At 37.8% G+C, this 23,422-nt stretch overlaps 1 non-coding gene across 1 annotated transcript, besides 1 other annotated feature; it reads right to left on the bottom strand.

Annotated features, from left to right (window-relative positions):
• Nucleotides 3,038–3,659: an enhancer, noted in NCBI's record as "OCT4-NANOG hESC enhancer chr4:175355573-175356194 (GRCh37/hg19 assembly coordinates)". NCBI's record gives its function as "activates a minimal SCP1, AML or CMV promoter by ChIP-STARR-seq in naive H9 embryonic stem cells {active_cell/tissue: H9 hESC(naive)}" and the evidence as "EXISTENCE:reporter gene assay evidence [ECO:0000049][PMID:30033119]".
• On the bottom strand, nt 14,217–14,286 carry MIR4276 (microRNA 4276). Its single transcript, NR_036236.1, has one exon. It is a non-coding gene; the product is annotated as a microRNA 4276 (primary transcript).
• Nucleotides 14,287–23,422: the final 9,136 nt, after the last annotated feature.

The following is a 23,422-nucleotide window of genomic DNA, read 5'->3' as shown; positions in this document are numbered from 1 at the left end:
TCTTACTCTTCAGTGTAAGGGAAGTATCTATAAAATGCCTGTGTGAAGACTGAGTTAGACATGGTGATTGTGGTATAAGATAAGAATAGAAATGAAGGAGACAGAGATGTTGCAGACCGTCTAGAATTTCACAACCTTAGAGCAGTGGCTTCAGTCTTTGCATAGATAACAATCACTGGCATTGTTGTTGTTGCCTAGAAAGAGAAGTATAAAGACATTTGCATGGGAATGTGCATCAAAGGCATTCTAGGGCTGAACAGAAAAGTTAAATTGGGAATCATTCAACATTTCCCTGACCACCAGATGGACCACCATTCATTTCACTGCATCCTCCAAATAAAAAATTGCTATATTTTCCCATGTGTACAATGATAAGAATTCCCCAGCTTTCCAAACACAGACAAGTTCCAAGTGCTCCAGCAGCAAACTCCCACTGAGCATAATATAAGCATTCAGAAATTCCAAGGAAACTCCCCTATTTGCTGCCAAAATCTTTTTTTTTTTTTTCGAAAGCCATGTACAGTTTCTGGAATGATTTCACGATTTCAAGATGATGTGTTTAATTGGGTTTGCAAACAAAAATATGAGCTGTACATATTGGAATGTCACTGTTTGCCCTCTTAAGTACATTTTTATTTAAAACATTAACACATTGTGAGAAGTTAGAGTACCCACATGTCTGCAAAATGAATGACTCAACAATTCCTCAGGAGTTCTCACACACACAAAAAATGGAGCCATATAATCTGAACTAAAGACAAATGAAGAGATTTAAAAGTATCAGGATTCCAAATGCATTCTGATACAAAGACATCATGGATTGACCTCTCATATTTATTTACATCTCTCTGAAGGTTGACTTGGGGGCTATGTGTTTTGAAATTTGATAACAATTCATACTTGGAAATTACACTGGGCAAGGAGCTTTTCTTGTTACATAACCACATTTAATCCTAAAAATACTTGATCCTAGGTATTTATTAGGCAGTATATTCTAATTTTATTCATTTGTTTGTTGTCAATAATTTTTTATCACAGACTTCTTTAAAATTCTGATATTGTCTCTGAACCTCCTGCTTAGAAAAGTGCATGTGTTCCACAGGTGGTACAGGTTTAGTTTGCCAACTCCTTGAAATCCATCCATGGACGATGAGACTGGTGGCAGGATGGGGGGTTCCATAGAGCCCAGGTCAACTATCTCAGATGTGGTCCAAATACCTATCTTACCTGAAAAGGAAGAAATGAAACCCAGAGAGGCTAAGAAGTGACTTATTGAAAGGTCACTCAACAAATGAGTAGCAGAGCCACCAGTGAAAATCAAACTTTCTTGCTAACTCGTGGTCCTATATTTTCCCATTACCTGCTGTGAATTTAAATAACCACTAATAATCAAGGTTTTGGTTATCTCCCCTCACTCTTTACCCCTCACCAGCCAGCCTATATAGTCATAGTCAAGAGATAGTAAAGTCAGAAGTTGGAGAAACCTGGCTTTATTTCTGATTGATTATTGATTGATTATTGATTGAAGCTATTGCATGACTGGACATAAAAATACTTTCTCTGCATCAATCTCCCTACCCATAAAGTAGAAACAATTGTTTGTGGTTAATTGTAATCACTTAGGAGTATTGCAAGAATAGATCAGATAATGTCTATAGTATATGAGAATCAAATCAAAAACATGTAATAAAAACTTCCTCAAAACGACAAAATAATAACAACTTATGTTTTCCAAAGCATTACAACCTAGGAATAAGTGTGAAGTCATGATTTTGGTAACAAATAAGTTTTCCCTAATTCTCAGGTTCACTGGAAAAATGACTGAGATGCTACACTTGTCATTTCTAAAACTCTCAAGCTACATTCCCTATTGTCCTTACAGGAAAGAATGTCTCCATGGCAACTCCAGGGAACTAAGCTAATGGCAAGGAGATCAGTAAGGAGACTGTCACAGTAATTCAGATGAGATATAGTGATGGCATACTTAAAAGCTTCCATAGTAGAGATGGAGAGAAGTGAATAGATTCCAGGATACTTCGGAGGGATAGTAGTGATGGATTGGAGATCATGGTAAAAGAAAATAGTACGGATACCACACAGCTTCCTGGCTTTAGGCCCCGGGTTCATGGTGGAACCATTCACTCTCACTGGGAGCAAAGAAGAGAGAGCAGCTAGAGAAGGTGAAGAAGGCGAAAGAGGTTGCAACGAGCGAGGCTTCTACTTCCCAGATGGAAGTGGGCACTAAACAGCTGCATATGTAGGTATGCATTGGAATTTAAGCAAATGTCCAAAGGCTGTAGGTCAGAGAAGGAGATATTCAGGTAAAATGGAGGGGGCTGATATGTGCCAGAAGAAGTAGAAGCTTGCTAGTTTGCCATTCTCACTTTTTTCCACCACAAACCGAGACAAGTAAATTCGTGCTGGTGGCTGCACCTTCATTATGGCAAGAAATGTTTTGGAAAATCTGAACCCATTTGAATCTATGAGTACAGTAAAGTTTTAGTAGCAATGTTAATAATGTAAAGAGAAAGAGGAAATCGATTTAGAGGAATCAATTTAGGATTTGTCTGCCAGGGAATGGAAGAGAGAACTAAACCTCTGAGTAAAAGTGGCTTTGTGTCTAATGGGAGGCTTGGAGGTAAATTCATTGTGGTATTTGCGCAAGGCCCCTAACGGAAGACGAGAAAGAAATAAGAACTCAGGCTTTTGATTTCACAACCTTCTTTTCATTGTCCAAATCTTTTTTTCTAACCCCATTGCTGCTTTACTTTTTAGATCTCAGATACCTAGAATCACAGAATCATAGGATTGAATAAACCCTCTAACCACCCAAAGCCTCCCTCATATCTCACCATCCTAATATAGCGATCTTCTGTATCACATCACTGTCCAAAAATAAATTGTATTTTTCTTTTTCTCAGAAATCAGTGAAGTATCACTTTGGGGTACATTACAATAACTAACTCATTTGCTTGTAGTTGCTGTTTATTGGCAATGCACATTCTTGGGCTGTATGTCCAAGGTGAAATGAATGATCATCATTCATCAAGGGTCTAACATGTCTAGTGAAATAGTCATTGGCTATCTAATAGGAGAACTGTTCCACAGATGGCTTAATTACAATGTAGAGGAGGGCAATTGATAAGAATGAGGTCCTGAAGTAAGCTAGGCAAAGCAGAGGTTTTCAAAGCTGAACCTTAAAAACACCTGAGGAGTTTTAAAAAATAGTTGCCCAGGTCTTATTTCAAACAAATTAAATCAGAATCTCTGGGGACGAGCCCCAGATATTTGCATTTTTTAAGACTCTCAGGTTGTTTCAAAGGGCAACCTCAGTCATGAGCTTACATGAATTGGATGTTAATGGCTGACCCAGTGTGCTCCCATTATGGAGTTCAAGCCATGTGGATTCTAACTACATTCCCCAGCGAAGGATTGAGCTCTGAATTCATGTGCCTAAAGGCCTTAGAGTCTCTTTTTGCACACCCAGCAGCCACAGGAAACCATTTCAGGTATGTGTGTGGGTAGTAAGGGCAAATGTTAAAGATGACTTTTGTCTGGCAAAACAATTTTCGTATTTTGTTACTAGGCCAGGCGTGGTGGCTCATGCCTGTAATCCCAGCACTTTGGGAGGCCAAGATGGGAATATTGCTTAAACCCAGGAGTTAGAGACTAGCCTGAGCAACAAAATAGGACCCCAATTCTACAAAAAATACAAAAATTAGCCAGGTGTGGTTATGCACACATGTAGTTGCAGCTACTTTTGGAGCTGAGGTGGAGGATCGCTTGAGCCCAGGCTGCCGTGAGTTGTGATCATGCCATTGCACTCCAGCCTGAGTGACAGAGTAAGACTCTATCTCAAAAAAAATAAAATAAAATAAAATAAGTTACTAAAACTTGGTGGTCTCAAACTCCTGGGCTCAAGCAATCCTTCTGCCTCCACCTCCCAAGGTGCTGGGATTACAGGTGTGAGCCACTGTGCCCAGCTCAAAACTTAAATTCTTAACCATTCAGCTAAACTGCCTCCAAATGAGAGCACTACAAAACAAAGCAAAAAAAAAAAATCCCTATTTTTATAGTAGCAGGGATAAAAGGTATCAAAAGAACTATATTGATGAATGGCATTTGGAATAAAAATGAGTATCTGTGCATTAATCAAAGCTAGGAGTCATGTTTCCATAGAATGAGCAATGTGTTACCTCCTTTGAAAGAAAAAACATTCACAAATGTACTGTGCTGACTTAAGTATGCACAAACATAGAAATAGATAGAAAACCTATATTCTTATAGCTCTCATAAAAGTATGAGACCAAAGTAAATTGATAAACAAAACCCACAAAAAGTGTATTAACAACATTAATATAGCAGATGATGCTGTTGTCCTAAAATGAAATCAGTGCTGTCAATATGAATATCATATGGATAATCCAAACTGTGTTCACACAATAAATCGTCATGTGATTTGGCCCTTATGTGATGCACTTTAAAATATTAAACTTCCTCTGGTATCCTCACATTAGCCTTTGACAATTAAAAGAGTTGCCTATTTGGGAGGCTGAGGCGGGTGGATCACAAGGTCAAGAGATTGAGACCATCCTGGCCAACATGATGAAACCCCATCTCTACTAAAAATACAAAAACTAGCTGGGTGTGGTGGCGTGAACCTGTAGTCCCAGCTACTTGGGAGGCTGAGGCAGAAGAATCACTTGAACCCTAGAGGTAGAGGTTGCAGCGAGCCAAGATCATGCCACTGCACTCCAGCTTGGTGACAGAGTGAGAGTGAGACTCTGTCTCAAAAAAAAAAAAAAAAAAAAAAAGATTGCCTATACATTAGAGCCCCTGTTAAATAAGCTCACCCAGATATCTCTACAAAAAACATGTCTATTACAAAACTGCCTCCTCCTAATTTAGCACATGGTGCTACATTAACACGTCTCCTTTCTCCCTGAAAATGACTCTCCTTGAGATTTATTTCTTTACTAACTAGGTTTATTATGACTTATAAGATGAAGGCAACAATAAAGGATATTTGTTTCCTGTAGGACTTCCAACACTAATTCCCCTGTTATCTTTCAGGAGAATCTCCCATGGGGGCTATGCAGAAGGGATGCAGAGCCCCACCTTCCACTACAGAATCCAAAGGCAGAAAACACATGACCCAAGTTCAGTCAATGAGACTGTCCCACTACTTTTGATGTGGACCAAATGAGCCAATGACCAGAGATTATTAGAATTAATGATGCAAAAGTCAGATCCAATGGCACTAGTAATGATCTGGTGGCAGTATTAGTACCCACCAGCAACTTTGGACTGTAGTTTCCAGGACTGACTGACCCTGTAGCTTTGATTTCTTCTTCCAGTCTGTCCTCAATTCTGTGAATCCCTTATATAATTCCAGAAAATCCCAATGTTGCTATGACAGATTTTGTTTCACTCTTATAAGCAAAAATCCTAACAAATACAGTTATTAATAATAGGAAGAAGTTTGTAAGAAATAAAAATATGGAGAATCTAGGATTTATTATCTAGCTATTGGAGACTACAGGTAGACAGTCTCATGAATAGTCCCCAGTAGGAATCAGAAGTCCATGGGAAACAGTGATGAAGCAGCTAAATAAGTACACCTAGACCATTTCAAGATAGGCAGGTCTGTGCAAACCTACACCAATGTCCAAGGAAGCTGAGAGGCCTAAGAAAGAGGCTGACATATCCTGTTTCTTAGAAACAAACATTTAATAGGGACTTAAGGAACAGAAGCCATGTCTGTGTCTTTGGTGGTGGCAAGACAAGATGGCGGATCCTGGCACCATTATGTCTCTGATCCAGGGCTTACACACCATAGTGAAATTAGTGGCTCAGATGGAATTTGTAGGCCAATTGAAGTGTGATAACATCAAGGTTGTTTGACCTAAGGACAGGATTTAAAGTTAAGTACCTTCTCTTACACAAGGAACAATAGATAAATGGAAATTTTAGAGGCCTTCCAGATATTGGAGTTAATCAGTTAAGCCAACATGGCAGATTAGTTTCCAAGGTGGAGCTGCTTTAGCCTCCCATCCAAAATGGAGTTGCTTTAGCTTCCGTATATATTTAATATCCTTCCCCATAATTTTACTTCATTTCTAAAAACTTTCCTGCTAAATGAAAAGCCATTATATGACATTTTTTCCATTAATTTTGATGGATCAAATTATGATTCATTTCATCCAATCCAAAATACTCAATTTCCAGTGGATAGAAAACTATATCAATTGAACAAAGAAAACAAGTTTATATAATTAAGAACAACAATTAAAAGTAAATAAATACAGCTTACACATAAAATTAAGTGCCATGAAGATTTACTGTCTTCACTGAAAAGGAATGAGGAGACTGAACGTAGAAAATAGTCACTGGAGAAAGAGAGAGAGCTCAAGGCAGTTATTCTTTGGAAGGTAAGTTCTTTTTTTTTTTTTTTTTTTTTTTTTTTTTAAGAAAGGGTCTTCCTCTACTGCCCAGGCTGGAGTGAGTGGGTGGGAACATTGCTCACTGTAGCCTCAACCTCATGGGCTCAAGTGACCCTCCTGAATAGCTGGGGCCACAGGTGCACACAGGTATGCTCTTCTTTTGCACCATTTTATTCATCAATTTTCCACCACAAACTGCACTTAAAAATAACATTATAACATACAAACCACTTTTAGGGTGAAAAACATTTGTACACAGAGACTTTAAAATATGGAAATAGTGCAGGCACAAAACGGACTCAAAAGTCATAGAAGGTGCACCCCTTTCATGCCCTTTCACTTGGCATGCATATACAAAACATAATTTCTTATTCATCCAAACATTGTTTTATATAATATTGTCTGACTGTACACTGTGTGTCAAGTCTATTGATGAGGATGTCTTTGCTTAGAAACATAATGTTAAAATATTGTATCATATATATCTTTAGAAATATATATCTTTAGGTTAAAAAAAGTCATTATACTAAAAAAGAACAGAGTCATTCACAAAGAGGTAAATGTTTCAAGAGATGGTAAAACAAAAAGTCATAAATAAATGGTCATGAAGGAAGAAAATCTGTGCTATATATTGTCTTCTAGAATAAAATATCCTCTAGAGTAAGGCTTTCTGTGACCATGTTGCCCAGCCCACAGGCTGTGTAAAGGATGTGAATAAAAAGACTGGAGTGTGAGAAAGGTTAATCTGTTGGCACTTTTTATATAGACACTTATTAAAGAGAATGTGGATACTGCAAAAGGGAGACATGAATGAGTCTACAGCCTGCCTCTCTCAAATACAAGTCAATTACCATCTGTTTTCTAAGCAGGGCAGTTTCAGGAGCTGATACAGTACAAACACGGCCTCTATTCTTCCAAGATCTTGACGGGGAAAATGAATGCAACACTTAGTTGCTTTTGTACCAGGAGGGAACTTTGAGACCTGATTGGAGCCTGGACTTTCTGGGACTCCTGGAGAGACGCAGGACCTCAGAGCTTCGTAGATGTATACAGAGATGTGTAAGAGAAAATTCACCACAATTTTAATGTTACCTTAAGGTAAAGAGCTTTCATTTTATTTTAACTTTCTTACTAACATTTATCTATGGTGGCCATTTTTTTTCAACAAACCTATATTATTTCTATAATGAAAAATATCATAAACATACTCTGTCGTGAAATATAATTAGAACAGAAAAAGTATTAACTTATTAAAAAGTTCAAAATTCTAAATTCTTGGCTTAAGTCAAATACATTTAAAAACCCAGGGACTTTCTAAAATCATGCAAAATAATTATTTAGTTCAGGCAGCTGCAGGGCTGCTGTGGCCAAAGTTTCATGCTGTAAGTTGTCCATCTGCACCAGTTGCACCATCTGTTGAATGCCCAGCCTCACCAAGTCTCAGAATGATAGTCCTGGCTAACACTTAGAAAATGCTATATTCAAGACACTGTACTAAGTGCTATATTTATATTATCATACTTAATATTCAGAAACACCCTATTAAGTAAGTACTATTGTCTTCCATGTTTCATGGGTTAGGAAACTAAGGCATAAAGAAGTTAAGCAAATTCTCATAGGTCAAATAGCTGGTAGTATTGGAGCAAGGACAAAAATAATTAGACTGATTCACCATCCATATGCTTGATTGCACATCGTGCAGCCCACTGGTCAGGAGTGAATAAGCACTGGAGAATTGAAATGGAGATATGTGAAGAATTTCAAGTTCTGCATGTACCTGGAAATCCTGAAACTCCAACCACTTGCTGAGCCTCCCTTGTCCATGGGATCATAGTTTAGACCTTTATCAGGATGTTCTCCTGTTTGAAAATGTTGCTGCATCCTGATCTGAAGAAGTCACCCTGCAAGAAAAAGCCAGCTTTCATGATGAACCCCACCCTGCTTCCGCTCAATGGTGCAATTAGAGTTAGCCAAATCAAACTTCTCTCAACTTCCCAGGATCCCAGGATATCACTATGCTCCTTTTTGTCTCCTCACCCTTTAAATATTAGAGTGTCTCACGCACTGTCTTTAACTCTTTTCTCTTTATTACCTACGCTCACTCCCTAAGGGATCCCTATCTCCTGCCTTTAAATACTATCAGCATGTTTAACTGCAAACTCATATACTCATAACTTCCTGCTTGACATTTCCAATTTTTCTGTTTGAGATGAGGTCTTATTCTGCCATGCAGGTTGGAGTGCAGTGGTGCAATCTTGGCTCACTGAAGCCTCTGTCTCCCAGGCTCAAGTTATCCTCCCACCTAGGCCTCCCTTTGAGTAGATGGGACCATAGGTATGTGCCACTAGACTCAGCTAATTTTTAAATTTTTTGTAGAGACAGGATCTCCCTATGTTGCCTAGGCTGGTCTTGATCTGCTGGGCTCAAGCAATCCTCCCACCTAGGCCTTCCAGAGCACTGGGATTACAGGTGCGAGCCACCACACCCCACAGTGACATTTCCTTATCCAGCAGGCATCTCAAACCTATTATGTCCAAATCCAAATGGATAATTCCTACTAAAGTAGCTCCTCATACAGTCTTCCCCTTCTCAGTAAATAAATTCATCCTTTTTTAAGCTCCTCAGTCAATTTGAAGTAATTTTTGACTCCTCTCTTGCTATTACATCCCACATGGGAATTCTACTTTCAATATATATCCAGAATCTGGCACTTCTAATCACCTTCCTTGCCATCATACTGGTTCAGGACACCACAATACCTTTATAGAATTTTTGTGATAACCTCCCAGTGTTCTCCACAATCCTGAGCTTGGCCTGCTTTACTGCCTCTCCAGTTCCCGCCACCATTCCAAACGCACTAGCCTCAGAAGAGTAGCCAAAATGATGATCCTGAGAGATATAAATGAGATGATGCCACTCCCCTACTTAAAACATTTCTATGTCTTCCTGTCTCAAGAAGAATATAAGCTAAAGTCCTTACCAGCACCTACAAGCCCTTACATGCTCCGGTCCCCATTAGCTTTCAAACTTCATGTCCTATTATTTCTCTGTCACTCTTTTTACTTAAAGCATATTGGCCTGTTTAATGTTTTCCTAAATTACTCAGGGCTTTTGCATATGAATTTTCCTCTACCTAGGATGCTCTTTTCCCAGATATGTGTATGGCTAATTGCCTTGCTTCTTTCCTATTCGTTTTTTTAACTCAAAACTCCCATTCTCTCAGTGAGAGCTTTTCTGACCACTCCATGGAAAATATCACACATATATCCCTCACATGTTCTTTCCATGCATTACTCCTGCACTTCACAGATATGTGTTGAATATATAAATGTATTCTCCAGAAGGCCAATTACAGAACCAAAACTGCAAAGGGGAAGATTATACACCCAAAACACCATAGGACTTTGGTCATTTATAAATGCACAAATCTTAGGAACAGGTAAAGAATTTGATTTTGAGAATGCTCGCAAAACAAAGAGGAATAGTAGGATTCAAGTATTTACTGCATAGTTGGACTATCTTAATTAGGAAGGCATGTTTAATAAATCAAAACATTCACATGAGTACAAATGTCTTTGATGAATGACAAGATCAAAACTATGCCTACAAACTGAAACTTAAGTAATACTGTAGTAGATTCTTACAATGTTATGTTGCATCACGATCCTTTCAAAATATAAGTTGGACTTACACTAGAAGCAGAGCTTAGTCACCCCTGACACAGTTTCCAGTTGCCCACTTTCTCCTAATTCTTTAGTGTGGTTGATCCAGATATCTACCTTGCACAACGACCTCCTAGGGAACACCTTCCTGTAGGACAGCTATATACCACCTACTTGAGTTGCTCTCTGACCCTGCCTGGACTGTTCATACATATATGGCGCAATGACCATCTCTCAGTCACAGTGTAGACTACATGCAGCTCGTGCCTGCTTCCTCTAAACCCACAATTCAAAAACTCTATCCCATGTTCTATGGGAAATCTAGTACCCTTATCAACATTTCTGAGAATTCCTTGGGGTTCATATCTTCATGGTTACTCTGGCTCTGCCTGCCTGCCTCCACTAGACTACTGATGTCATTGGCATCTGATCCCCTATAACTATTCTCCTGCCCTCTGCTCTGTGACAACCAGGACATGAAAAGCAACCTTATTCCTCTGAATAACCTATAAACAGCTCACCCATAATATTTGTTCATGTGTTACATTTACCTTATGATTTGAAATGATACATAAATGTATTTACATGGCCTTTGAAATTTTAAAATTTAATATTATACTTTCTCACTGTTTACATTTATTTGACCTGCCTTCAATAATCTCTTACTGTTCATTTTCCTCCATGGATATTTGCTCTGCTATGTTACTCGGCCATGTCTGTTTCTTTCTCCTCTCTTCTTTCTTACTCTTTTTACTACTTGTTTTTTTTTGAGTCGGAGTCTCACTCTGTCCCCCAGGCTGGAGTGCAGTGGCACAATCTTGGCTCACCGCAAACTCTGCCTCCCAGGTTCAAGCGATTCTCCTGTCTCAGCCTCCCGAGTAGCTGGGATTACAGGCATATGCCACCATGCCCCAGTATTTTTATATTTTTAGTAGAGACGGGGTTTTACCACGTTGCCCAGCCTGGTCCCAAACTCATGACCTCAAGTGATCCACCTGCCTCAGGCTCCCAAAGTGCTGGGATCACAGGCGTCAGCCACGGCGCCTGGCTACGACTCTTTTTCTAATATTTGTTCATCACTTTCACAAAGAATATAGCTCTTCTTCATTTTTATTTTCTTATAACCCATGCTGTTAAGTTTTCACATTATACTGAAATATAGTTTCTCACGTTAGTTTACAAACAAGACGATTCCTCCTCGTTAAAGGAACTGTTAAGCCAGATGGTGAAAGTCTTTGCATCCAAGAGTCCTGAGCAGCTGAGGTATATGAATAACAGCTGCCTGAACCCAAATCTCCTCAAACAACCTCTAAGCAACAAGAATAAAACCACACAAAATTCTCACCTTTGGCAAAATTAGAAGACAGAAAAATATTACAAGTGAAAATTACCCATAGGTATAAAAATAAGCACCAAATTCCAGCATAGCTAACTTTCGAAGCTCTTCTGAAGTCATTCCCACAAAGAAAAGGGGTTCTGAAAAAATGCACAAGAAAGATAAGGGACAATTGAGTTAAAGCCAACCCCAGGAAGAGATAGCTCAAAGAGTCCTGATAATAATCCTGGTGATGGATTATTAATCATTGAGTTCTCTAAGAATCAATTAATCCATCCAAATCTAAATAAATGAACAAAAACTAAATTAGTACTGGGGGAATCTTATCCCTTTAAGTGGAATGTCAGCTAATAAATGTAGAAGGGATGGTAGACTTAGAAAATCACCATTTTGGAACTATTACAATAAAAATTGATGTAAGCAAAAATTATCAATGAGTACTTAAATGAGTAGGTCAAAGTTTGGGGAATAAAGAAGATTTAGGTATCTTCAAAGTATCTCTCCACAAATTAATTATAAATTACTAAGGGGAAAATAAAAAATTTGCAGTGGAAAAACCTAGCAGAACCATCTTAGCCAATCAATCGTAGCTAACATCACCAATCATGGGACAGACCAGCATCATGTTGCCTGCTGATGTGATGTGCTGAGAAGAGTACAGTCTCATGTCTGTTTCCCTATCTGACATGCATGACCTGGTTCTAAACAGAGGAAATATCAGACAGACCCAAACTGAGTGACATTCCACAAAATAACAGGTACTCTCCAAGCTGCCAAGGTTATAAGGGAAAAGACTGAGGATTTAATCTAGATTAAAAACACTCCAGGGACATGATGATTAAGCACAATTCTTACCACTGAGTTAAATTTTAGACCAGGAAAAAAAACACAGGACATTGTTGGGATAATGGACTAAATTTGAATATTGGCTCTGGAAGAGGTATTCCTATTATATAAATGGTATATATATTTTTTTACTCTGGTAATTTTACTAGTTATTCAAGAGAATGTGTTTTTCTTAGGAAACACACACTGTTCGAAAGGTTAAAAAATGTTTATTAAGAGAGTAAATGATAAAGCAACCAGAGCAAAAATGTTAATAATTTGTGAATCTAGGTAAAGAATAAAATGAGGATCATTTGTTCTATTCGGATAATCTCTCTGTAAAACTTGAAATTATGGTAAAATAAAACGTTTAAAAAATTCTTGTTCTACTTTATTAAAAATAGAAAATTCTGATATTTTCCTTTTAAAAAAATAATCTCTGAAGTTAGATAACTGGAAACAAAAATTTACAAAGCTTCCCCACAGATCCTTATGAAATAAGTTTATGGTAGAATTAAACATATCCAGGTAACTCAATCTTTTGCTTTTAAGCCAAATTAATTGAGCCAAAAACAATACAGAGCTCTTAAAACATTTTGTTGATTTTTGATAAATTAAGTTGTCCCAGTATTGCCAAAATGTTTACAACAATAATACAACAAAACTGGCCAGGCACAGGGACTGACACCTGTAATCCCAGAACTTTGGGAGGCCAAGGTGGGAGGATCACTTGAGCCCAGGAGTTCAAGACCAGCCTGGACAACACAGTGAGACCCTGCTGTGATTGCACCACTGCATTCCAGCCTAAGCAACAGAGTGAAACCCTGTCTCCAAAAAAAAAAAAAAGAAAATAAAAGAAAAGAAAAAAAATCATAAAACTAACACTCTTCAGTCATTATATGATTTTCATTATTGAAGTTTTATATTTGCTAAAATACCTGTTTTTATTGATCCATCTAGTATTAATAGGTGTAACTGCAACATGTCCTTTTGTTTATGAGCTTAAAAATATAGCAGAAACTACTATAAATTGAGGATTTACTTATGCTAGGTATGGTGTAAGGAAAATTTTAAAAATAGCATTCTGTTTTTTGATCTTAAAAAATCCTATAGGTATGATTAGTACTTTATCTATTTATAAATAAGGAACTGAAGATAAAGAAGGTAAAGAACTTAGACCTAACTTCACACAGTTTGTAGTTTGTAACTGGCAGAGGTGAGGTTCTAAACCTAGTCAACAAGGCTAGAAAGCTAGTAGGTTTCCTAGCACCCTATGTAGTACATATGCTTGCTAGTACTATTAGTAATTCCAATGATTTTTACTTTGGGATTTGGCAAAATCTCTCAGGATAAATAATTCAAAATCATCAATTGTTAAGTAATTTTCCTAGATGAATTCTTGGAATCAAGATGATAGTCTGCTTAACATACGATTCCATTATCTTATCATGTCGGACTACAGCCTGGCAAAGGTACACTGCTCTGTTGAAAAATAATTTTTAAATATACTGTTATTAATCTGGAAGAAACTGCAATGTAGGAGATCTAGAAATAGATAATATTAATTTATTCTGAAAAATTAAAAGGACAGACTTGAGTAACAGACAAAATTTCCAAATAAGCAGATCTTGATTTTGAAGTTCAGGTTTTTATTCTATTTTAATTAAAAATCTAATAACAAAATCAAAAAACCCAGAAACAAAATCCTTGCAAATATTTTTCGTTTTGAACTTCTTTTTTATTACTATTATAATTTTTTGTTGTTGTTTTTACATGCAGAGATAGGGTCTTGCGAGGCTGCCCAGGGTGGTCTCAAGATTCTGGGCTCAAATGATCCTCCCACCCCAGCCTCCCAAAGTACTGGGATTGCAGGCATGAGCCACCACACCCAGCCTGTTTTGAAATTCTTTAAGTTTTCATATGAGCTGTCAAAAAGGTTTCTAGCTACCCATTGCTTTCAGACACAGTAGCTCTATTTACGTGGCCACTGCCAGCACATGAGTCACTGAGTCAGACTGTGACATGCCCACAGCATATCCCATTATTTAACTCATTGACTCAAGGAACACATAAGAAAAAATACACAGTCTACAAATTAATCACTTTAGCAAAATTGGCTTTACACATATTCCAGGATACGTGCATGATTAAGCAAGCTATATTTATGTCAGCAGAGAACTATAAATAGAATATTTATTTAGAGTCATCTTATCTAAGGAGATGTCTAATTTTTGTTGAATTTACACCTCAGATGTCAGACTCAACAGAAAAACAGGCAAGACATGCAGTTTTGTTTTATCTTCCTCCACCAGCCCCAATGCCAAATGTCACATGACACACACACATATACACACACACACACACACACGCAAAAAGGTTGTATTTCTCCGGTAGTCAGAATAGCAATAGCGAATTCAATGGTTCTATGAATGTCTGGATCATGTTTTGGAAAGAAGTAACACTTCTGCAGAAATTTTGTTTCCCTGTTTCTCTTAGATTCAAAGAGCTGGCAAACTGCCAAATCGGAAATTCTGCAAACTGGAAGTGCAAATTGTGTTATTTGTATTGTAATCTTTAACATGTGTCATTTCAATGATTCCCAAATCACACTATGAATCAAAATTAAAACTAAAAATGCAGGTTTTGATAAAATAGGATTCAATGGAAATGTAAAATTACATTTTAGCACAGTGTCCTCCATTGAATATGTTTCCTTCTTTCCCTCTTCCTCTTTTCAGTTTAGTCTCACACAGGTTTTAGATTTTATCTGAGGTTTGAGAGTAAAGTGTTGCATACCTTCCAAAAAGCTTTTGCCTTATTTCCAATTATTGCAATGCAATATTAGATAAGAATCCAAATAAGTGTGATTTATGGGTATTGTTACATTTATCTGGAAAAAAATGCAAACTTAAAAGTGTTTGACAGGGCTCACCACATGAGAAACATCTAGACCCTTCTAGCTTGTCAAAGAAATGGAAGACAATTGAAAGAGTTTGTAGTAAAGCGTGGAAAGGACCAATTTAATGATTTTGTTAAAAGAAATGAAAACAATTATGTCATTATAATATTACTGCTATAATATTATATGTTATATGTTGTTATAACAGAAAAAAGTCAACATCTTTCATCATTCATTTTTGAAATTAACTTCTGTCATACAATTGAACATTTGTTTTTGCTTCCTTTTTTTTCTCCAAATATTTGGGTTTAGTTGAGGTTCTGGAAAAAACTTAGTGTTTTACTTTAGACTAAATAAGCTTAAAATTCACTCAATATCAGCATAAAAACTTTTACCGGAACATTTTGCATAGGACCATATTCCTGTTTTCCATAAATTTAATCTACTAAAATCTAAGAGCCAGATCAGAATTCTTTTTTTGGCAGGCGAGCTTAGAGAAAAATTAAAACAATCAGATTGTTTTCTTGAGTCTCTATAAGCATACCTCCTCTGCACAGTGAATTGAAAATCCTTTTGCTTCCACATCTGATAAATAATACAATTAGTAACTCTAATAATTTTTATTTTTGATGGAATGAAAATGCAGTCATCACTTTGTGAATTTTTTTTTTTTTTTTTTTTGAGACATGGTCTTGCTCTGTCCCCCAGGCTGGAGTGCAGTGGCACGATCTCAGCCCACTGCAACCTCTGCCTCCTGGGTTCAAGCGATTCTCCTGTTTCAGCCTCCTGAGTAGCTGGGGCTACAGGCAGCTCCTGTGCCACGATGCTGGCTAATTTTTGTATTTTTAGTAGAGACAGGGTTTTACCATGTTGGCCAGGCTGGTCTCAAACTCCTGACCTCCAGTGTTCCACCCACCTCAGCCTCCCAAAGTGCTGGGATTACAGGCATGAGCCACCGTGCCCTTCTGCTTTGTGAAATAATTTAAGTGAATTCACATGCATGCAACTTCTCCCATGTGTGAAGCAAGTCAAACACAAGAAACATGATCTCCACATTCTGAACAGTAAATGGAATGTGAATATGGAATGAACAAATGTAATTAAACACTTATTCACTGGAAATGGACATATAATGACAAATATAAAAAGAAAAAATATGTAAGAATAATGTACCTGTACTCAAACTTGTCCTTCAGGCAATATTGTGAGAAATTTCTCCACTAAACCCAATGAGGAAACTGAAGAAAGTAAAATATTAGCATCCAATTTTCTTATGAGTTGATTCAATAAGCATTTACTAAATTCCATACAAAGTTTAAAATAACAATTCCTGCAGTCCTAGAGCTCTCATGGTACAGGAGAGAGAAATGTACACAGAAATTTACTGGTGTGGTGAGTACCACAACTTAGATGCTGACAGAGTACAGTGGGAACACAAAAGTGGAAATATGTAATCATGCACACAGACATCACAGAATATTTCATAAAGAAGGTAAATTTTCAGTTGAGTGACATATAATTACAAGGAACTCCCTAGACGGTTGCAGGGGAAAGTAGTTGCAAAGATATGGAAGGGAAAAAGAACATATCGTATTTTAGAAGATTTCTAAATGTTTTAGCACATGTGGAATATCTGGAGTATAAACAGAGAGGGAATAACTTTGCCCATTAAAATAAGGAATTAAGAAGCCACCATTATTTTTATTGTTTTTTGTTTTTTTGCTGTCAAATTAATTTTTCATCTTTGGAAATTTGAAAATGGGGAAAACATAGAGAAGAAAATTAAACCTACTTCAAATTCTGTCAGCAAAGAATTGTGTGGCTTGACTACATGCTTTATTCCACAGCCGTGCTTCTAACAGCCTTGCAGTGATACTGATCTGAGGCCATGGGCAGCAAATGAGACTGTCCCCCAAGTCAGCTGGGACCAACGATACTTCTCCCAACTGTCACCAAAATGTTCTCCACTTATTTTCCACAATGATGCATTCTTTTCTCAGTCTTGGTGCCTTCTGGATAATTAAATTTTCCCTAGATTTGGATGATATTTCCTTGATTTTATGGTATGTGATTGTTGTTTTCTACTCTTGGCACCAGTAAAGGTAGTTCTCTTTTTTATTATTATTATTTCCTATTGTTTTTCTCCTAGCGTATGACCACTTGTTGAAAAAGGGTTTTGCTCTTAAAGGAAGCTTTGCCAGAAATCCAGAGCACATTTTCTCCTTTAGTTCAGGATTATACATGTAAGTGGCACTGCTGGGTCAAGCAAGAAGTACTATTGAAAGGGTTTGGTATAGAGGCAAGTCGCTTTCTGAAAAAATGTCAATTTTCATGCCTATGATGGCATGTGAGATGCCATTTTCTAGCATGCTTACCGACAATGGGTGTTATCTTTTATTTTTGCAAAGAGTTGAGGGATTTTGAAGAATCATGGTGATAAAATCAGCATTTAACTTTCTTGCTGTCACTCTTCCCGCAGCGTAGAGGATACGCTGAGCATACAGGGTATGGTCTGGTTTGCAGGCCAAAAGATAAGGTAGGTGGTTTGTGAAATAATGTAGATGAGAAAACATAACCAAGGAAGTGGCAGGAAGAAGAAGAGAGATGGAAAAAAATTTGAGAGACAGGAAGGAAATATAAATATAGTAACCAAGAACACGTTGCTAAAGGGGGCAATAAAAATAATTCTGAAAATCGCTGGTCTCTACAAAGCACTGTACACATATTAGTTCATATAATTCTCACAAATTTAGAAGATAGGTGTTATTATTATGATTTTTCAGATTTGTAAAATAGGTTAAAGTAGACATTTAGAAAGTTGTATTATAATGATTGTACTCACTTGTATATAGGAAGCAAGATAATACATATAGCTATGCATTGAGTGTGAACTGCTTGTGAGACATAATCATATAGTTAAGTAGATTCAGGGAAATGTGGATTTGGAATTTAAGACAGAGAGAGGAATCATAAAATTTAAAACTTGACAGTCATTAGGATATCTGGTTCCCCCAATAAATCTAAGTCTTAAAGTAAGGCAAACCTTATTTATGAGTTTTATACATCAGATATATTATATGAATATAGCATGTCTCTTTCTCTCAAATAAGTAAACTGCCTTAAAAAAAGATAGTATCTAATCTACATACTATGTGAAGAGCAATACTATTTATGCAGGAAAAGGATAGGAGGGAGAAAGCAGAGAATAATACCACCAAGGACAGATGTTCGCAATATGTAAACTGAGTAAAGTTCCTTGAAGGAGTGAGATTTAAAAATATATATCTGGGGCCAGGCACAGTGGCTCACGCCTGTAATCCCCCAGCGTTTGGGAGGCCAAGGCAGGTGGATAACTTGAGCTCAGGAGTTCGAGTCCAGCTTGAGACTAGCTTGGGCAACACTGGGAAAGCCCATTTCTGCAAAAAATACAAAAATTAGCCAGGCATGGTGGCGTGTGTCTGTGGTCCCAGCTACTCTGGAGTCTGAGGTGGGAGGATTGCTTGAGCCAGGGAGGTGGAGGTTGCAGTGAGCCGATATCACACCACTGCACTCTAGCATGGGTGACAAGAGTGAGACCCTCTCTCAAAAAAAAAAATTACATATGCATAATATATAGACTTTATATTCTATATAAAAGACTATGTTATATATAGTATATAGACTTTATATTATATATATATAATATAAGACTACATATAGAGAGAGACTTTGTTAAGTTTAGAAGATGTGGTCAAAAAAGAAAAAGAAAGAAAGGCTCTCTTTATGCATAACGTGTCAGAATTTAGCTATTGTGTCTTCGCTTGCCAAAAGCAACATAGTGAATTGAATGCATTCACAAATTTAGGCCAAAGGTCATGGTTGATAAAAATCTGGGTTCCAGAGATGTTTACTTACTTTTTAATGAATCAGTGATCCTCATTAGGTCAATGACAATACAGTAAATTTTTCTTACCCAAAATCTTTAGCAATAGCTAAATCTTTAGCTTTTCCAGATCGGGATATTTCTTAGTAGTTATAGAAATGACAACTCACCCTCATTTGTGATTTATGATATAATTTAGCTTTTTTCAATCTTGCTACTATCTTTTATGATATTGCATCATTCTTTAGCACAGTTACTGAAATATGACGTAAAATATGCAGAAATATGCCAATCAGACCTTATTTTGTTATCAGTTAGCATCTCTTAAATAGAAAGATAGTACTAATGGCTAAAATTTGTAGATTCTTTTCATGTCTTTGAAAATAGCATGAAAATAAAAAATAAATTAACCAAATCTTAGTAATCAGAGATGCAGTAATTTAATGTTATCTTGGAAAATAAATTAACAATAATCTAATGGGTTATGTTCAAATTATTACCTAGATTTTATGTATGCTAAATTTTTACCAAATTTCTTCACTTCATATTTCCATGTGTTTTTGTTCTTATTTTAACTTAAAGAACTCTTTCTGATAATAGAAATTTTTAAAAAATCTGCACTTTTCTTACTTTCAAGCTTGCACGAGATCTATGTAAAATATTTTTTAAATGAATTGTAGGATTACAGTAACATTCCAAATATTAAGATGGTGTCCATCCAAGGGTATGTCTCCTACCATTTTCTCTAAGTTTTGTACATATTTTCTTTTCCTTTCATTCCTAATTCTTGTAAACCACTATAACACTCATGGTTTGAATACTACAGTGATGATTCCTGCCTCTTTCAAGTGGACGAGCAAATCAACAATATCAATAGGAGAAACAAATTTAAATATTCAAATAAATTGATATTTATTTTATACTTTTTGCTATGCTTACAAAAAGTACTAAATTATGAGTTACATCTGATATTCTAATGATATTTTCATTACATAAAATTCAGCAACCTTTAAAGGGTGGTTCCAAGATGGCCGAATAGGAACAGCTCCAGTTTACAGCTCCCAGTGTGAGCAACACAGAAGACAGGTGATTTCTGCATTTCCAACTGAGGTACCGGGTTCATCTCACTGGGGCTCGTCAGACAGTGGGGGCAGGACAGTGGGTAGAGCCCACTGAGCATGAGCCAAAGCAGGGCGAGGCATCACCTCACCCGGGAAGCGTAAGGGGTCAGGGAATTCCCTTTCCTAGCCAAGGGAAGGGGTGACAGATGGCACCTGGAAAATTGGGTCACTCCTACCCTAATACTGCACTTTTCCAATGGTCTTAGCAAATGGAACACCAAGAGATTATATCCTGCGCCTGGCTGGGAGGGTCCCATGCCCATGGAGCCTCGCTCATTGCTAGCACAGCAGTCTGAGATCGAACTGCAAGGTGGCAGCGAGGCTGGGGGAGGAGTGCCCACCATTGCTGAGGCTTGAGTAGGTAAACAAAGCGGCTGGGAAGCTCAAACTGGGTGGAGCCCACCGCAGCTCAAGGAGGCCTGCCTGCCCCTGTAGACTCCACCTCTGGGAGCAGGGCATAGCCGAACAAAAGGCAGCAGAAACCTCTGCAGACTTAAATGTCCTTGTCTGACAGCTTTGAAGAGAGTAGTGGTTCTCCCAGCACGGAGTTTGAGATCTGAGAATGAGCAGACTGCCTCCTCAAGTGGGTCCCTGACCCCCGAGTAGCCTAACTGGGAAGCACCCCCAGTAGGGGCAGACTGACACCTCACACAGCTGGGTACCCCTCTGAGATGAAGCTTCCAGAGGAACGATCAAGCAGCAACATCTGCTGTTCAGCAATATTCGCTGTTCTGCAGCCTCCACTGCTGATACCCAGGCAAACAGGGTCTCGAGTGGACCTCCAGCAAACTCCAACAGACCTGCAGCTGAGGGTCCTGACTGTTAGAAGGAAAACTAACAAACAGAAAGGATGTGACACCAAAACCCCATCTGTATGTCACCATCATCAAAGACCAAAGGTAGATAAAACACAAAGATGGGGAAAAAACAGAGCAGAAAAGCTGAAAATTCTAAAAATCAGAGCACCTCTCCCACTCCAAAGGAACGCAGCTCCTCGCCAGCAATGGAACAAAGCTGGACGGAGAATGACTTTGACGAGTTGAGAGAAGAAGGCTTCAGACGATCAAACTTCTCCCAGCTAAAGGAGGAAGTTCAAACCCATCACAAAGAAGCTAAAAACCTTGAAAAAAGATTAGACAAATGGCTAACTAGAATAACCAGTGTAGAGAAGTCCTTAAATGACCTGATGGAGCTGAAAACCACGGCACGAGAACTACGTGATGAATACACAAGCGTCAGTAGCCAATTTGATCAACTGGAAGAAAGGGTATCAGTGATTGAAGATCAAATGAATGCAGTGAAGTGAGAAGAGAAGTTTAGAGAAAAAGGAGTAAAAAGAAATGAATAAAGCCTCCAAGAAATATCGGACTATGTGAAAAGACCAAATCTACATCCGATTGGTGTACCTGAAAGTGATGGAGAGAATGGAACCAAGTTGGAAAACACTCTGCAGGATATTATCCAGGAGAACTTCCCCAACCTAGCAAGGCAGGCAAACATTCAGATTCAGGAAATACAGAGAACGCCACAAAGTTACTCCTCGAGAAGAGCAACTCCAAGACACATAATTGTCAGATTCACCAAATTTGAAATGAAGGAAAAAATGTTAAGGGCAGCCAGAAAGAAAGGTCGGGTTACCCACAAAAGGAAGCCCATCAGACTAACAGCAGGTCTCTCAGCAGAAACTCTACAAGCCAGAAGAGGGTGGGGGCCAATATTCAACATTCTTAGAGAAAAGAATTTTCAAACCAGAATTTCATATCCAGCCAAACTAAGCTTCATAAGTGAAAGAGAAATAAAATACTTTACAGACACGCAAATGCTGAGAGATTTTGGCACCACCAGGCCTGCCCTACAAGAGCTCCTGAAGGAAGCGTTAAACATGGAAAGGAACAACCAGTACCAGCCACTGCAAAAATATGACAAATTGTAAAGACATCAATGCTAGGAAGAAACTGCATCAACTAATGAGCAAAATAACCAGCCAACGTCATAATGACAGGATCAAATTCACATATAACAATATGAACCTTAAATGTAAATGGGCTAAATGCTCCAGTTAAAAGACACACACTGGCAAATTGGATAAATAGTCAAGACCCGTCAGTGTGCTGTATTCAGGAGACCCATCTCACATGCAGAGACACACATATGCTCAAAAAAAAGGGATTCAGGAAGATCTACCAAGCAAATGGAAAACAAAAAAAAGGCAGGGGTTGCAATCCTAGTCTCTGATAAAGCAGACTTGAAACCAACAAAGATCAAAAGAGACAAAGAAGGCATTACATAATGGTAAAGGGATCAATTCAACAACAAGAGCTAACTATCCTAAATATATATGCACCCAATACAGGAGCACCCAGATTCATAAAGCAATTCCTTAGAGATCTACAAAGAGACTTAGACTCTCACACAATAATAATGGGAGACTTTAACACCCCACTGTCCACATTAGACAGATCAACGAGACAGAAAGTTAACAAGGATATCCAGGAATTAGTCTCAGCTCTGCACCAAGCAGACCTAATAGAAATCTACAGAACTCTCCACCCCAAATAACAGAATACACATTCTTCTCAGTACCACATCACACTTATTCCAAAACTGACCACACAGTTGGAAGTAAAGCACTCCTCAGCAAATGTAAAAGAACAGAAATTATAACAAACTGTCTCTCAGACCACAGTGCAATCAAACTAGAACTCAGGGTTAAGAAACTCCCTCAAAACCACTCAACTACATGGAAACTGAACAACCTGCTCCTGAATGACTACTGGGTACATAACGAAATGAAGGCAGACATAAATATGTTCTTTGAAACCAATAAGAACAAAGACACAACATACCAGAATCTCTGGGACACATTTAAAGCAGTGTGTAGAGGGAAATTTATAGCACTAAATGCCCCACAAGAGAAAGCAGGAAAGATCTAAAATTGACACCCTAACATCACAATTAAAAGAACTAGAGAAGCAAGAGCAAACACATTCAAAAGCTAGCAGAAGGCAAGAAAGAACTAAGATCAGAGAAGAACTGAAGGAGATAGAGACACAAAAAACGCTTCCAAAGATCAATGAATCCAGGAGCTGGTTTTTCGAAAGATCAACAAAATTGATAGACCGCTAGCAAGACTAATAAAGAAGAAAAGAGAAGAATCAAATAGATGCAATAAAAAATGATAAAGGGGATATCACCACTGATCCCACAGAAATACAAACTACCATCAGAGAATACTACAAACACCTCTATGCAAATAAACTAGAAAATCTAGAAG

The sequence above is a fragment of the Homo sapiens genome, chromosome 4 (genome assembly GCF_000001405.40).
Source record: "Homo sapiens chromosome 4, GRCh38.p14 Primary Assembly".
NCBI classification, from domain to species: Eukaryota; Metazoa; Chordata; class Mammalia; order Primates; family Hominidae; genus Homo; species Homo sapiens.
Note: the sequence above shows the minus strand (reverse complement) of the source record. Positions and strands in the feature narration are given on the sequence as shown.